The sequence below is a fragment of the Homo sapiens genome, chromosome 12 (assembly GCF_000001405.40).
Source record: "Homo sapiens chromosome 12, GRCh38.p14 Primary Assembly".
Classification (NCBI taxonomy): Eukaryota; Metazoa; Chordata; class Mammalia; order Primates; family Hominidae; genus Homo; species Homo sapiens.
In genome coordinates this window covers 50,942,669-50,959,174 of record NC_000012.12, presented here as the reverse complement: position 1 = coordinate 50,959,174, position 16,506 = coordinate 50,942,669, and the positions used below count along the sequence as shown (strand labels likewise).

At 43.0% G+C, this 16,506-nt stretch overlaps 2 protein-coding genes across 8 annotated transcripts in view, besides 1 other annotated feature; one reads left to right on the top strand and one right to left on the bottom strand.

The window, feature by feature from the left end:
- The window catches only part of SLC11A2 (solute carrier family 11 member 2), a 76,624-nt gene extending 69,712 nt beyond the window's left edge, over positions 1–6,912 (top strand). For all 3 annotated transcript variants that reach the window (XR_001748720.2, XR_007063077.1, XR_007063078.1), the window contains one exon: positions 5,367–6,912. The gene's annotated coding sequence lies outside the window, so the exon portion shown is untranslated. The remainder of the gene's footprint in view (positions 1–5,366) is intronic.
- The window catches only part of HIGD1C (HIG1 hypoxia inducible domain family member 1C), a 41,483-nt gene that overhangs the window by 13,418 nt on the left and 11,559 nt on the right, over positions 1–16,506 (bottom strand). For 2 of the 5 annotated variants that reach the window (XM_017019783.3, XM_017019784.3), the window contains exons 2-4: positions 6,659–6,734; positions 5,916–5,970; positions 5,083–5,184 (exon numbers count right to left, since the gene is read on the bottom strand). In XM_017019783.3, coding sequence (XP_016875272.1) covers positions 5,083–5,184; positions 5,916–5,970; positions 6,659–6,734 — 233 coding nt within the window. Of the gene's footprint in view, positions 1–5,082; positions 5,185–5,915; positions 5,971–6,459; positions 6,632–6,658; positions 6,735–16,506 lie in introns of those variants that run through there. The other 3 variants (XM_011538649.3, NM_001109619.4, XM_017019785.2) reach the window with 2 other exon arrangements.
- Positions 6,049–6,549: an enhancer, noted in NCBI's record as "H3K4me1 hESC enhancer chr12:51346409-51346909 (GRCh37/hg19 assembly coordinates)". NCBI's record gives its function as "activates a minimal SCP1, AML or CMV promoter by ChIP-STARR-seq in primed H9 embryonic stem cells {active_cell/tissue: H9 hESC(primed)}" and the evidence as "EXISTENCE:reporter gene assay evidence [ECO:0000049][PMID:30033119]".

Genomic DNA, 16,506 nt, shown 5'->3' with positions numbered 1-16,506 from the left:
GCACTCTTGCCTGGGCAACAAGAGCAAAACTCCGTCTCAGGAAAAAAATAAAAAAGAGGATATGGTAGATGTAATAGAATATGACAAGGACAAAATGCACAGTAAGAAAACATTTGCACAGTAAAAGTGTGCATCTTTTTTTTGTTTGTTTTTCTTTTGAGACAGAGTCTTGCTCTGTCACCCAGGCTGCAGTGAAGTGGTACAATCTCAGCTCACTGCAACCTCTGCCTCCCGGGTTTAAGTGATTCTCGTGCCTCAGCCTCCCTAGTAGCTGGGATTACAGGCATGCACCACCACACCTGGCCAACTTTTGTATTTTTAGTAGAGATGATGTCTCGCTATGTTGGCCAGGCTGGCTTTGAACTCCTGGCCCCAAGTGATCCACCCACCACAGCCTCCTGAAGTGCTGGGATTACAGGCGTAAGCCACTGTGCCCGGCCTATTTTTTGGGTTCTCTATTCTTTCCCATTAATCCCTGCATTTGACCTTCCATCAGTACCACACCATGTTGATTACTGTAGCAATATAGTAAGCCTTAATATCAGCCAGAGTGATTCTTTCCACTTTTATCTTGTTTTAAAAAAGATTATTTTAGGCCGGGCGCGGTGGCTCACGCCTGTAATCCCAGCACTTTGGGAGGCCGAGGCGGGCGGATCACGAGGTCAGGAGATGAAGACCATCCTGGCTAACACAGAGAAACCCCATCTCTACTAAAAATACAAAAAATTAGCCGGGTGTGGTGGCGGGTGCCTGTAGTCCCAGCTACTCGGGAGGCTGAGACAGGAGAATGGTGTGAACCCGGGAGGCAGAGCTTGCAGTGAGCCGAGATAGTGCCACTGCACTCCAGCCTGGGCAACAGAGCAAGACTCCGTCTAAAAAAAAAAAAAAAAAAGATTATTTTAGCTTTTCTAGGACTTGTGCCTTTCCATATAAGATTTAGAATAAGTTTGTCTATGTCTACCAAAAACCTTGCTGGGGTTTTGACAGGAATTACATTAAGCCTGTAGATAAACTTGGGGAGAATTGACATCTTTACCAATATACAGTGCCTTCCAATTCAGGAACACAGGATCAGGCATGGTAGCTCATGCCTGTAATGCCAGCACTTTGGCAGGCCAAGGCAGGCATATCACTTGAGGTCAGAAGTTCGGGACCAGCCTGGCCAAAATGGTAAAACCCTGCCTCTACTACACACACACACACACACACACACACACACACACACACACACACACACCTCCAATTCATGAATACAGTAGTCTCTCCATTTTTGTTTTGTTTTTTTTCTTCAGACAGGGTCTCACTCTGTTGCCCAAGGCTGGAGTGCAGTGGCATGATCTCGGCTCACTGCAACCCCCACCTCCAGGGTTCAAGCGATTCTCCTGTCTCAGCCTCTTGAGTAGCTGGGATTACAGGTGCATGCCACCACACCTGGCTAATTTTTGTATTTTTAGTAGACATGGGGTTTTGCCATGTTGGCCAGGCTGGTCTCGAACTCCTTACCTCAGGTGGTCTGCCCACCTCGGCCTCCCAAAGTGCTGGGATTATAGGCGTGAGCCACCATGCCTGGTTGGTATTATGTTTTTAGTTTCAGTTTCCAGATGCTTCTTGTTAGTATATAGAAATGCAAATTTTAATCTAAATGTAAGGATCGATTAAAAGAAGAAATGCAGGCTGGGTGGGCATGGTGGCTCATTCCTGTAATCCCAGCACTTTGGGAGGCTGAGACTGATGGATCACTTGAGGTCAGGAGTTTGAGACCAGCCTGGTCAACATGGTAAAACCCTGTCTCTACTAAAAATACAAAAATTAGCCAGGTGTGGTGGCGCATGCTTACTCAGGAAGCTGAAGCACGAGAATCGCTTGAGCCCAGGAGGTGGAGGTTGTAGTGAGCCAGGATTGTGCTATTGCGCTCCAGCCTGGGCGACAGAGGGAAACTCTGTCTTTAAAAAAAAAAAGAAAAAAAAGCAAGTAATTTTTATGTGGATAGCATGTTTGGAATAACTATGTTGGCATATGTGTGTCTATGGGTGGGTAAGGATATATTTATTCTTTCATGATCCATTTAATAAATGGAAATAAGAATCAGTAAATCATTACATTTACATGTATATTTTATACACTGATCCACAATAAATAAAAATGACTAATGTGCTACAGACATAAAAACAGCAAAAAAAAAAATAACAAAATGATGATGGTAGACATATGAGGAAACAGGTAAAACCCTGAAAGCTCTGTAAGTTTGGCCAAGTCCTTCTAGAAAGAACTCTGGAAATATATAACAAATGATATTAAACTGAACATGCTTCCTGCTCTGGAAATTCTACTTCTGGGAACATACTCCAAGGAAATAACCAAAAGAAAAATCAAGAAAATGACACAAAGATGTTCAGGGCTACACTATGTTTGAGGAAAACCTAAATAACCCAAACAGAAGAAAAACTGCCATTGCTATAAAAATAAATAAGAATAGGGAGTATTAATACACAGAAATGCACGTATGAGCTGTTAAGTGAAACAAGCAAAGCCAAATAATCTGTCAACACATACTTTAAATAGATATAATGCATGCAGAGACCTTAACAGTGATTGTAAGATGATTTGAACAGTGTAAATATATTTATAATGATGGAAGTTGCTTAAGATAACCAACAAAAAATGTTTTGTAAGTTACCTGCATAGGACCCTCCATCCTGTAGCAGGAAAATACATAGTAGATATTGTTAAAATGACAATAGCTAAACAAATTATTCAATGATATATATCCAATTTTTTTTTCTAAGATGGAGTCTCGCTCTGTTGCCCAGGCTGGAGTGCAGTGGCGCAATCTTGGCTCACTGCAACCTCCACTTCCTGAGTTCAAGTGATTCTCCCGCCTCAGCCTCCTGAGGAGCTGGGACTACAGGCGCCTGCCACCACACCCAGCTAATTTTTGTATTTTTAGTAGAGACAGGGTTTCACCACATTAGCCAGGCTGGTCTCAAACTCCTGATTTCAAGTGATCCACCCACCTTGGCCTGCCAAAGTGTTGGGATTACAGGCATGAGCCACTGTGCCCAGCCTACCAAATTTTATCATTATTTATTTTTTAGCAAAAACTTATCTCTATTCCCTTAATCAAATGAAAGTTCTGTTCTTACTTAAATTGGTTTTGTTTCTTTTGGAGATTAAAGTCAGAACCTTTACTGTTTTCCATATAGTGTCTCTAGTTTGTTTATAATTGAATTTAGCTGGAAACACTTTTATCTTTCCACTTTAATCATCCTAAATGTCTCTGGAAAAATAATTTAATATACAACAGGCACAGTGGTGCGTATGTCTCTTTGTCTCTGTTTATTAATTAATTTCTGTTCATTATAGTGATCTGTTCAAGTAGCATTGAGTTTTCGAATTTTTTTTAACTAAAAATGCTAAGGAAGATAAATCACTATTAAATTATTTGCTTCCATTTCTTATGGGTGCTATTATAAGTCTTAAAACTTCTAAACAGAATATTACTGTAAAGTAAAATTTGATTCTTTCTTGATATGTGAATAATGACACTTAGGAAGTTGCTAGAGTCAGAGTAACACTTAACGGGAACATCTGACATACCTATTTAGAAGTTTTTATGGAATTAATATTTTTGCAAACTTATGTCAGTCTGATTTAAGTAAACTATTTTAATAGTTTCCAGACAAAATGAACACAAGGAAACAGGCATGGCTGCAGTATACATCCATGGAGAAGAAAGAGAAAGCTCAGACTTCAAAACATAATATTGGTGCTTAGGTTTTGTGGGGTTTTTTAAAGTCCACATACACATAATACTTGTTGAAAATGTAAACATACTAAATATGTGTGGGGAAAGGATAAAGAGGCTAAGGGTCCAGATTATTAGGTGATCTAATTATAGTATCTCTCTTTTTTATTTTTTGAGATGGAGTCTCGCTCTGCACCCAACCTCTACCTCCCGGGTTCAAGTGATTCTGGTGCCTCAGCCTCCTGAGTAGCTGGGATTACAGGTGTGTGCCACAATGCCCAGCCAACTTTTTGTATTTTTAGTAGAGATGGGGTTTCACCCTATTGGCCAGGCTGGTCTTGAATTCCTGACCTCAAGTGATCCACCTGCCTCGGCCTCTCAAAGTGCTGGGATTACAGGAGTGAGCCACTGTGCCCGGCCTAATTATAGTATCACTTCTTTAGTCCAGAATTTATTTTGCCATCAAACTCAACACCTGGAGCACACCAAGAAGCCAGCACAGAGGGCCACTGAGCAGCCAAAATGACCACTCCAAAGTTCATGCTCACAAGTGTTCAGATAGATCCAGGCTTTTACTCAGAGCTTTCCTCTGAATTGACCCACAGTTCTTTCAAGCTTGGTTATCTAGCTTCTGGTGCTACAGAGCATTAAAAACATTAGATGCAGAAGTTTTTGGTTTTTTGTTTATTTGTTTGTTTGTTTTTGAGACAGGGTCTCACTATGTCACCCAGGCTGAAGTGCAGTGGTGTGATCTTGGCTCACCGCAACCTGCACCTCCTGAGCTCAAGCAATCCTCCCACCTCGGCCTCCCAAAGCGCTGGGATTACAGGCATGAGCCACCGTGCCCGGCCTAGAAGCAGAAGTTTTTAATGTGCCCAATAGTAAGATAGAAACAGAAAAATCTATAAACAGAAGATGTAAGAACTTAAAGTTTAGATTACTTACAAGACAAAGAGACATATGCATCTCAATAGTCCCTAATAGGCTTTAAATATAATAAACTGATGCTGCTGTTGATGGTCCTGAGTTATGACTGAAATGTTAATATTCATTCAATCTATTCCATTTGACTGGCTAGGAACTAATAATTTTAGGTAGACTTCTAATGAAATGGATAAAATAGAATAAAATTTGATGCCTCAAATAACAGCTAACATTTACTGGGGGCTTACCATGTATTAGGAACTATTCTGAAAGTTCAACACATGCTTAGAGGAGGTTAGCTTCAATTATCTGAAAAAATTCAATTATAAGAAACATTTCAATCCGCAAAGGCACTGGGTAAGGCATCATTGTGTTATTACAGTTTTCTGCATCCAGTCAAGGCTTGTACTTACCTATAGGGACAAAGGGGGAGTCTCTAGATTTCCTGATTAGTCGGGATAATTGGCCTTCATCCTCATCTGCTGACCACTGGTTATCTGAAGACATTTTTTTCTCTAGTAACAATAGGATATAAATGTGGTTGCCGTGAATCATTAAAAATAATTTGTTTTTCCTCTCCCATCATACTCTTGATTATGTGTTTTTTTGTTTTCATTTGTTTGATAAGCCTATCTGCTCAACTGAAACAATTGTCTTTCCTTCACACTTTTCACTACCGAATTTTTTCATTTTGCAGGGGAAGGGGATAAGAAAAAAATACATAGAGGAAATGATAATCAGATTTCATGAATACAGAGTAAAAACACAGATCATAATGCTGTTATTCAGTCTCCTTTCCACTGCTCAGCATTTGAGATCACTGGGAACCTCAGGACTTCTTCCACAAGCACTGTATTTGAAGAACACATTTTCTTTTTAAAGTATCATTTTAAAGAAGTATGGCAGTGCCAACATAGGCAAAAATACTTCCAGATTTACAGGTATTGGGAGAATGATCACTTCAACTCTGCAGAATGTGCAGGGCATTATAAAGTCATTCAGATATTTACCAAGCACCTACTGTGTGCCAGTTGCTATGCTAGACAATGGATTCCTTGTCTAGCCTGGCTTGTCTACATAGGATGAATGAAGAAACTTGCAAAAGCAACTATAATCACAACAGATTTAGCAGCGCCTGAGTCTGTTCCCTGTGCAGCTTATTGTGTTCACCCCAGAATTCAAATACAGCGGCTTCATCCTATGAATGAGACTTCATCAGAAAACTTAAGCGTAAGAAGCACAATACCTGTGGCACACCCCGCCACCTGCTGTCTGTCTCCTGTTGTTCCTTCAGCAAGAGGCTGTAGATCAGAACAGGTGTTTGTTGTAAGGCCAGGACACGATGTGCAATTTCCAACTAATTGATAATGGGAAAGCCCAGAAACACGCCCCAGGGGACTGGGGGAGTGGTCGGCTGGTATTGGCCAAGATTTCCAGCACCCTGCTAGAAACTCACCAGTAGCAGCCTGGGCCACAAACTAGGCTTTTGAAGCCAACATTAAGAAAAACATGAAGGCTTTGGAAGAAGATGCATTTGCTTAAGTCTGCCTTCACAAGGGAGCTCCTGACTTCCCTCTGTGACTGTTGAGTCTTAGTACCTGACTCCTGGGCCCAAAATTGAGGGGAAAGAGGGCACAGGGTCACAACACTGGGCTTGGAGGGGAAGGGGAGAAGATAGCCATCAGAGGCCAGGATTCTTGCCATCCTTCGGAAACACGCCCTAGCCAGAGGAGGTGCGCTCCCTGCAGTTGGAATCTCCGGCTGAGGCGATGAGAGCCCGCCGGGCTCACCTGGCGGTAAGGCCATCGCAGGTGCGCCTCCTGCAAAGCCTCGAGCTGCACACGCGCCCAGGGGAAAGACGTGACGTTGCTGCACCTGTGGCTAGTCCCTGCGCCTGTGTGTGAGACCTGAGTGGGGCTGTGGAGACCCGAGAGGCTGTGGCTCTTGAGGTGGGTCGGTGGTGGACGTGGCCTTTGCTTCTGTTCTGACCTTGTAGCCTTGGGGCCCCTTGAGACCTTGGAGAACACCTTGCTCACCGCCTCCCTCCGACTGCAGCCATGTGGACCTAGAGATGAGGGCAGAGGATCAGGTAGCGTTCATGGTTTTTCCCTTGTAACTTAATGTTTAAATAATTTCAGACTTATAGAAAAGTCCCCAGAATAGTACAAAGAACTGTGTGTCTGGTACCCGCATTTTCCTTTATTAACATGTTTCTTTCTTTAAAAAATATTTTTGGCGAACCACCTGACAGTAGCAGACTTATGCCTTTTCTTCCATATACTTTTGTATGCATTTGGGGCATTCTTTTATTATATAACCATAGTACAGTGTTCAAAATCAGAAACTTAACATTGATATAATTCTGTTTTTCAATCTAAAGATTTTATTCATATTCACCAGTTGTCCCAATTATGTCCTTAATAGCAAAAAAAAAAAAAAAAAAAAATTTCTGGTCTAGCATCCAATTAGGATCATATATTGCATTTAGTTGTCCTGTTTCTTTAGTCTCCTTTAGTCTGAAACACCTTCCTAATCATCTTTGTCTGTCTTGACCTTGATTTTTTTTTCTTTTTTTTTTTTTTTGAGATGGAGTTTCGCTCTTGTCACCCTGGCTGGAGTGTGATGGCGCAATCTTGGCTCACTGCAACCTCTGTCTCCTTGGTTCAAGCAATTCTCCTGCCTCAGCCTCCCGAGTAGCTAGGACTATAGAAGCGCCACACCACGCCCGGCTAATTTTTTTGTATTTTTAGTAGAGATTTTGTTTCACAATGTTGGTCGGGCTGGTCTCAAACCCCTGATCTCAGGTGATCCACCCACCTTGGCCTCCCAAAAGTGCTGAAATTACAGGTGTGAGCCACCGCGCCCAGCCGACCTTGATGTTTTGCCAGTTATTTTGTAGGATGCCTCTCAATCTAATCCTGTGTTCCCGTCCCCTCCCCCAACTCATGTTTTCTCACTAGATTGAGGTCATACATTTTGGGCAGAATATGACAAAAATGATGTTGTGCTCTTCTTAGTGTGAAATATCAGGAGACACAGAAAGTTGAATTGCCTGGTGGTAGTTAACTTTGATCCAGTGTGGTGCTGACAAATGTTTAACAACTCAACTGGCTCTGGAGGGGGAGATATTGCCCTGTTCTGTGGCATTTGCCATTGCCCCATTCTGTGTTGTAAATATTCCCACCATGCCCAATTTCTAAATAGAGTCTGTCATCACGGAACACAAAGTTGGGAAATGTCCCTTTCCTGGGTTGGTAGGAATGGGCTCTAGCACACCACTGCTTTCATCATGTGGATTAACGTGGTGTCTGCCTGGTTCTCCACTGTGGTTACTTTTTTTTCTCCCTTTTAATTAATAAGTAGTTTCTGAACAGGTACTTTAATATTATACAAATATCCTGTTATTTGTCAGACTTTTACCCATTAATTTCAGTGTCTGTTGATGATCCTTGCTTGAATCCATTAATTTTAGTTTGCTAAATGGTGGTTTTTCTAAATATATCACCTTAAAAAAAAACTTATGGCCGGGCGCGGTGGCTCATGCCTGTAATCCCAGCACTTTGGGAAGCCAAGCAAGGCAGGTGGATCACCTGAAGTCAAGAGTTCAAGACCAGCCGGGCTAACATGGTGAAACCTCATCTCTACTAAAAATACAAAAAAAATTAGCTGGGCGTGGTGGCAGGCGCCTGTAGTCCCAGCTACTCGGGAGGCTGAGGCAGGAGAATGGCATGAATCTGGGAGGCGGAGGTTGCACTGAGCTGAGATGGCACCACTGCACTCCAGCCTGGGTGACAGAATGAGACTCCATCTCAAAAAAAAAAAAAAAAAAAAAAAATTAGCTGGGCATGATGGTGCGTGCCTGTAATCCCAGCTACTTGGGGAGGCTGAGGCAGGAGAATTGCTTGAACTCAGGAGGTGGAGGTTGCAACGAGCCAAGATTGCGCCACTGCACTCAGTCTGGGTGACAGAGGGAAATTCCATCTCAAAAACAAACAACCATTTATTAGTAGGCATTCTAATGAGGAATAGCTTTTCTTTCTTCTCTATTTAATCTTTTATCAGTTTGGACTCTTGCATTCCTATTTTATTCAGTGGCTTATAATCCATCACTATGATTATTTTTATTTTATTTTATTTTAAAATAACTGGTTTTTGCTTTATTCTGTAGTTTACATGGGCCAACCTCAAACTCCATGCTTGATTTTTCTCTTCTGCCTTTGTTATTCATTCAATATCTGTATCAGCAGAGACTGTTTCTCCCAGCAGCACATGTAGTTTGATCCTCATCTAGGTTAAGTAGGCCCTTGAAGACGCTGGCCCATCAGCACTGGTACCTGGACCCTCCCATTTGACTGCACCCATGTCTGTTTACACTGGGGCTGTGCCTTGGTCCTGTCACCCGTGAGGTGTCCTTAAGGCTGGAATGCCAAATAGGCTCCAGGTGATGGGCTAACTCTGAGTAAATACAAGAGGCTGCTTGGAGCCCAGAGATGAGGGTTATGAGGCAGACTGTGTCTGGGTTCCATTACAAAGAAACCGTGATTGATTATAAATACCTGCCCTGGCAATACACATTAGAAGTGTCTGGAAGTGGGGTTTTGGGGGAATGAGCTCAGAAAGGGACAAGGTGTATGTTCCATTCCTGCCTTGGGTGGTGGTTCTGCTACCTAGGCTATGTTGTCTCACTGCTCACGCCTTAATCCCAGCACTTTGGGAGGCTAAGGCAGGCCAATCACTTGAGGCCAGGAGTTTGAGACCAGCCTGATCAACATGGTGAAACCCTGTCTCTACTAAAAATACAAAGATTAGCCAGGTGAGGTGGCACATGCCTGTAATCGCAGCTACTGAGGAGGCTGAGGCAGGAGAATAGCTTGAACCTGGGAGACGAAGGTTGCAGTGAGCTGAGGTCACTCCACTGCATTCCAGCCTGGACGACAGAGTGAGACTCCATCTCAAAAAAAAAAAAAAAAAAAAAAAAAGAAGCATTCAAAGAATAATGAGACATGTCAATAGACAACAGGAGCCAGCTTAAAGGGGTTTCCAATAGCGAAATCTGGGACAATTTGATCATTAGAATAACCAGGGCAGTCTGCCTACCAAACTGCGGCGGGTGCCGTGACAGCCTCTGAGCAGGTCCAGAAGGGACCCCTTTAGCTGAAAGGCATTGCAGAGCTCAGTGTGATCAAGCAGAAGAAGAAAAAGAAGGACAAAGGCAAGGCAAATTTCCTGAAAGCCATGGCAATGAGCAAAAAGAACAAGGGGGAGAAGCGACACAGCCTGGACAAGTGGACCCCAGCCCAGATGGCCTTAGAAAGATGCAAGAGAAGTGTCAAATGGAAAGGATCCTGAAGAAAGCATCCGAAATCTACAAGCAGAGAGTGGAGGACTTCACATTCTAGGGATCTTTTCTTCATTCTGTTTTATAGCTGCATAGTCCTCCACTGTGTGGGTATAGCATAGTTTAAATGCTCTCCTAGATGTGAGTGAGCATGTAGGCTGGAGACATTACAGCAAACAATGCTGCAAGGAATAACCTCGTGCATATGTGTTGTCTCCTCCTCCTCCTCCTCCTCCCCTCCCCCTCCCCCCCTCCCCCCCTCCCCCCTCCCCCTCCCCCTCCCCTCCCCCTCCCCTCCCCCCTCCTCCTCGCTCTGTCGCCAGGCTGGAGTGCAGTGGTGCAATCTCAGCTCACTGCAACCTCCATCTCCTGGGTTCCAGCGATTCTCCTGCCTCAGCCTCCCAAGTAGCTGGAAGGAACTACAGGCACATGCCACCATGCCCAGATAATTTTTGTATTTTTAGTAGAGACAGGGTTTCACCACGTTGGTCAGGATGGTCTCAATCTCTTGACCTCATGATCCACCCTCCTCGGCCTCCCAAAGTGCTGGGATTACAGGCATGAGTCACTGCACCCGGCGGTGTTTTTATATTATTGAAGGTATATTTTCAGGGTAAATTCCCAGAAGTGGAATTGCTGGGTCAAAGGAAAATAAAGTTTAGTTTTTTAGATATTGCCAGATTTCCCTACAAGGTTTTAATATATTGGCATTCCCACCAGCAATCTACAGAAGTGTCTCTTTCTCCACAGCCTGCCCAACAGAATGTGTTGTCAGGCTTTAGAAGTTTTCACCAATCTGATGTGTAAGAAATGGTACCTTACAGCAGTTTTGATGAGCATTTCTTGTATTATGAGTGAAATTGAACATATTTTCATGTGTATAATGGTCATTTTGCATATTCAATAACTTATTTGTTAGGTTTCATAATTTTAAAGTTGTGAAGAGATTGGGGGAGGATTAGAAGATATGCTTAGAGTCATCAAAGGATTCTGAGTCAAGTGATCATGTAGGGAAGGTTCCAGAAATAGAAATTATAATTTTAGCATGGGGAGATGTGTCAGAGACAAATGTGAGCTATTCTATAAAATGCAGCCTAATTTTCTTTTTGAAACCTAGAGTGTAAGGGCAGTATTTTGTTCCCTTGTAGTCCTCATTCAGTTCTTCCTGCAACTATTCTGCCATTTCACACTGTTCTCATCTTGTCTTTCATATTTATTTGAGACGGAGTCTCACTCTGTTGCCCAGGCTGGAGTGCAGTGACGTGGTCTTGGCTCACTGCAACCTCCGCCTCTCAGGCTCACATGATTCTCTTGCCTCGGCCTCCCAAGTAGCTGAGATTACAGGCACCTGCCACCATGCTAAGCTCATCTTGTCTATTTTAGACCAGTTTGATGCCTCACTGAAGGTCCCATTATCTTTTATATATTTGCTGGTTTCGCTGATGTGGCAGGCAGAATAATATTGCCTCTTCACCACTCCCAGAAATGTCCACATCCTAATTTCCAGAACCTGGGAATGTGTTACATTACATGGCAAAGGGAAATTAAGGTTGTGGATGGAATTAAGGTTGCTAATAATCAACTGACCTTGAGTTGAGAGATTGTCCTGGACTATCTGGGTGGGGCCAGTGTAATTACAACGGATTTTACAAGAAGGTGGAAGGTAGGAGAATCAAGTCAGGTTGAGAGATTTGAAGATGTTATGCTGCTGACTTTAAAAATGGAGGAAGGAACCATGTGCCAAGGAGTGAAGGTGGCCTCTACAAACTGGAAAAGGAAATAGATTCTCCCCCAGAGCCTCCAGAAGAAACACAGACCTGCTGACACCTTGACTGTAGCCTAGTGAGACCCGTTTTGGACTTCTGTCTTCCAGAGTTGTCACATGAAAAGTTTGTGGTGTTTTAAGCCACTTAGGTTATGGTAATACATTAGAGCAGCAGTAGGAAACTAATACAAGTGACAGGTGCCCAACATTTTTCTGTGTAGTCAGTCTGCTCCACAGGGTAGGAAAGGGTGGACGTGTCACAGATCCAGTGAACTCCCACAAAAATAAGTCTGCAGGAATAATAAGGACTAGGGAAGGAATACTGGTGAAGTAGAAGTGGAGCAGATGTAGAGGGTTGAAAGACCCATGAGAGAATGGTGTCCAGAAGCCATAGGAATGGAAGAACATCTTAAGAAGGAACATGAGAATCAGATATTACACAGATCAGACATAAAATGAAGGCTTTATTTTTTGTTTTTATTTATTTATTTTTTATTATACTTTAAGTTCTATGGTACATGTGCACAACATGCAGGTTTTTTACATATGTATACGTGTGCCATGCTGGTGTGCTGCACCCATTAACTTGTCATTTACATTAGGTATATCTCCTAATGCTATCCCTCCCTGTGTCTTTATAGCAGCATGATTTATAATCCTTTGAGTATATACCCAGTAATGGGATGGCTGGGTCAAATGGTATTTCTAGTTCTAGATCCTTGAGGAATTGCCACACTGTCTTCCACAATGGTTGAACTAGTTTACAGTCCCACCAACAGTGTAAAAGTGTTCCTATTTCTCCACATCCTCTCCAGCACCTGTTGTTTCCTGACTTTTTAATGATCACCATTCTAACTGGTGTGAGATGGTATCTCATTGTGGTTTTGATTTGCATTTCTCTGATGACCAGTGATGATGAGCATTTTTTCATGTGTCTGTTGGCTGCATAAATGTCTTCTTTTGAGAAGTGTCTGTTCATATCCTTCGCCCACTTGTTGATGGGGTTGTTTGATTTTTTCTTGTAAATTTGTTTAAGTTCTTTGTAGATTCTGGATATTAACCCTTTGTCAGATGAGTAGATTGCAAAAATTTTCTCCCATTCTGTAGGTTGCTTGTTCACTCTGATGGTAGTTTCTTTTGCTGTGCAGAAGCTCTTTAGTTTAATTAGATCCCATTTGTCAATTTTGGCTTTTGTTGCCATTGCTTTTGGTGGTTTAGACATGAAGTCCTTGCCCATGCCTATATCCTGAATGATATTGCCTAGGTTTTCTTCTAGGGTTTTTATGGTTTATGTCTAACATGTAAGTCTTTAATCCATCTTGAATTAATTTTGGTATAAGGTGTAAGGAAGGGATCCAGTTTCAGCTTTCTACCTATGGCTAGCCAGTTTTCCCAGCACCATTTATTAAATAGGGAATCCTTTCCCCATTTCTTGTTTTTGTCAGGTTTGTCAAAGATCAGATGGTTGTAGATGTGTGGTATTATTTCTGAGGGCTCTGTTCTGTTCCATTGGTCTATATCTCTGTTTTGGTACCAGTACCATGCTGTTTTGGTTACTGTAGCCTTGTAGTATAGTTTGAAGTCAGGTAGTGTGATGCCTCCAGCTTTGTTCTTTTGGCTTAGGATTGTCTTAGCAATGTGGGCTCTTTTATGGTTCCATATGAACTTTAAAGTAGTTTTTCCCAATTCTGTGAAGAAAGTCATTGGTAGCTTGATGGGGATGGCATTGAATCTATAAATTACCTTGGGCAGTATGGCCATTTTCACGATATTGATTCTTCCTACCCATGAGCATGGAATGTTCTTCCATTTGTTTGTGTCCTCTTTTATTTCGTTGAGCAGTGGTTTGTAGTTCTCCTTGGAGAGGTCCTTCACATCCCTTGTAAGTTGGATTCCTAGGTATTTTATTCTCTTTGAAGCAATTGTGAATGGGATTTCACTCATGATTTGGCTCTCTGTCTGTTATTGGTGTATAGGAATGCTTATGATTTTTGCACATTGATTTTGTATCCTGAGACTTTGCTGAAGTTGCTTATCAGCTTAAGGAGATTTTGGACTGAGACGATGGGATTTTCTAAATATCCAATCATGTCATTTGCAAACAGGGACGATTTGACTTCCTCTTTTCCTAACTGAATACCCTTTATTTCTTTCTCCTGCCTGATTGCCCTGGCCAGAACTTCCAACACTATGTTGAATAGTAGTGGTGAGAAAGGGCATCCCTGTCTTGTGCCAGTTTTCAAAGGGAATGCTTCCAGTTTTTGCCCATTCAGTATGATATTGGCTGTGGGTTTGTCATAAATAGCTCTTATTATTTTGAGATACGTCCCATCAACACCTAGTTTGAGAGTTTTTAGCATGATGGGCTGTTGAATTTTGTCAAAGGCCTTTTCTGCATGTATTGAGATAATCATGTGGTTTTTGTCTTTGGTTCTGTTTATATGCTGGATTACATTGATTGATTTGTGTATGTTGAACCAGCCTTGCATCCCAGGGATGAATTATTTATTTATTTTGAGACAGAGTCTTGCTCTGTCACCCAGGCTGGAGTGCAGTGGGGCAATCTCGACTCATTGCAACCTCTGCCTCCCAGGTTCAAGCGATTCTCCTGCCTCAGCCTTCTGAGTAGCTGGGACTGCAGGTGTGCGCCACCATGCCCAGCTAATTTTTATATTTTCAGTAGAGATGGGATTTCACCATGTTGGCCAGGCTGGTCTCAAACTCCTGACCTCAGGTGATCCACCTGTCTCAGCTTCCCAAAGTGCTGGGATTACTGGCATGAGCCACTGCACCTGGCCAGATTTAACATTTTTAAAGATTTGACAGTGAAGGGAGGATGAGAAAGCAGTAACTTGAGGGGAAGGTAAAACTAAGTTTTCTGTGGTGTGTTATTTTGGTTTTTGGGTGTTCCCCCCACCCTTTTTGAGACATGTTGCCTAGGCTGATCTTGAACTCCCAACCTCAAGTGATTTGCCCTCCTTGTCTTCCCAAAGTGCTGGGATTCATTACAGATGTGAGTGAACCACCGTGCCTGGCCTGGTGTGTTATTTTGTTTTGATTTTACTGGAGGAAGGTGTGGATTTTAGAATATTTGAGTATAGGGGAAGGAATTCCTGAAGAGGGGAACAGTGAAGATACAAAATGAGTGTGACTTAGCAAAAGACAGACCTGGGAGAGAGGAATCAAGAGCCCAGGGGTATTGTTGCAGAGCCTGGGAGGAGACCTCATCCTTAGGTCAGGAGAAGGGATCTGTGAGGTTCTTACATTTCCAGTCTCAGTGGCTCATTTTTTTGTTCTATGAAGTGAGAAGTGAAGTCCTCTGCTGAGAGGGAGGAGTATGGACATGACTAGGGTGACTTGAGAGTGTCAAGGTTTGGCTTTTGGGGCTGCTAAAGGTAAATTACAAGATTTATAAGCATCGTTGAAAGTCTAACTAGGGTATTTTACTTTCTCCTGAGGGTAGGAACAGAGATGCCTGGTATTATTTGTACATTTAACAAAGATTAATTGAGTGCTACAGATATGATATAAGGATATAAAACAAGTGTGTTGCCATCAGGACACTTAGAGTTAAGTAGGAGAGACAAATGAGTAAACCAACATTAGAGCCCACTGGAAAGGTGAGAGGATAGAAGCATGGGCCTGTGGGAGTATACCTAGAGCACTTAATAAACTGCAGATTTTTTTTTTTTTTTGAGACAGAGTCTCGCTGTCACCCAGGCTGGAGTGCAGTGGCGCGATCTCGGCTCACTGCAGGCTCCGCCCCCAGGGTTCACACCATTCTCCTGCCTCAGCCTCCTGAGTAGCTGGGACTACAGGTGCCCGCCACCTCACCTGGCTAATTTTTTGTATTTTTAGTAGAGATGGGGTTTCACCATGTTAGCCAGGATGGTCTCGATCTCCTGACCTTGTGATCCACCTGCCTTGGTCTCCCAAAGTGCTGGGATTACAGGTGTGAGCCACCACACCCGGCCTAAACTGCAGAATTAAGAAAGGCATTTTTGGAGAAGACTATGGATGTTTTTGAGAACTAGTAAGCTTCAGATGAAGGGAGGATATGGGTACTCCAGGCAGAGGGCATAGCTGTTGTGGAACTGCACAGAGGCAAACAGCACAAATGTTATCATGTATAGAACCAGGCATGAGGGAGGCATGTGGAGGATAAAGCGTGAGGACCAACAGGGCCAGATCACAAGATACTTGCATTTTATTTGATTTTGTATTAGAAACTGCATCTTGATTGGGCGTGGTGGCTCGTGTCTGTAATCCCAGCACTTTAGGAGGCTGAGGTGGGTGATCACCTGAGGTCAGGAGATCGAGACCAGCCTGGCCAACATGGTGAAACCCCGTCTCTACTAAAAATACAAAAATTAGCTGGGCGTGGTGGCAGGCACCTGTAATCCCAGCTACTTGGGAGGCTGAGGCAGGAGAATTGCTTGAACCTGGGAGGCTGAGGTTGCAGTGAGCCGAGATCATGCCATTGCACTCCGCCCTGGGCAACAAGAGTGAAACTGCATCTCAAAAAAAAAAAAAAAGAGAAGAGAAACTGCATTTGGCTCTGTCTAGGATGGAGTGCTGTAGCACAATCAGGGCTCACTGCAGCCTCGAACTCCTGGGCTCAATTGATCCACCCACCTCAGCCTCCTGAGTAGCTGGGACCACAGGTGCATGCCACCATGCCCGGCTAATTTTTTATTTGTAGAGATGAGGTCTCGCCATGTTGCCCAGGCTGGC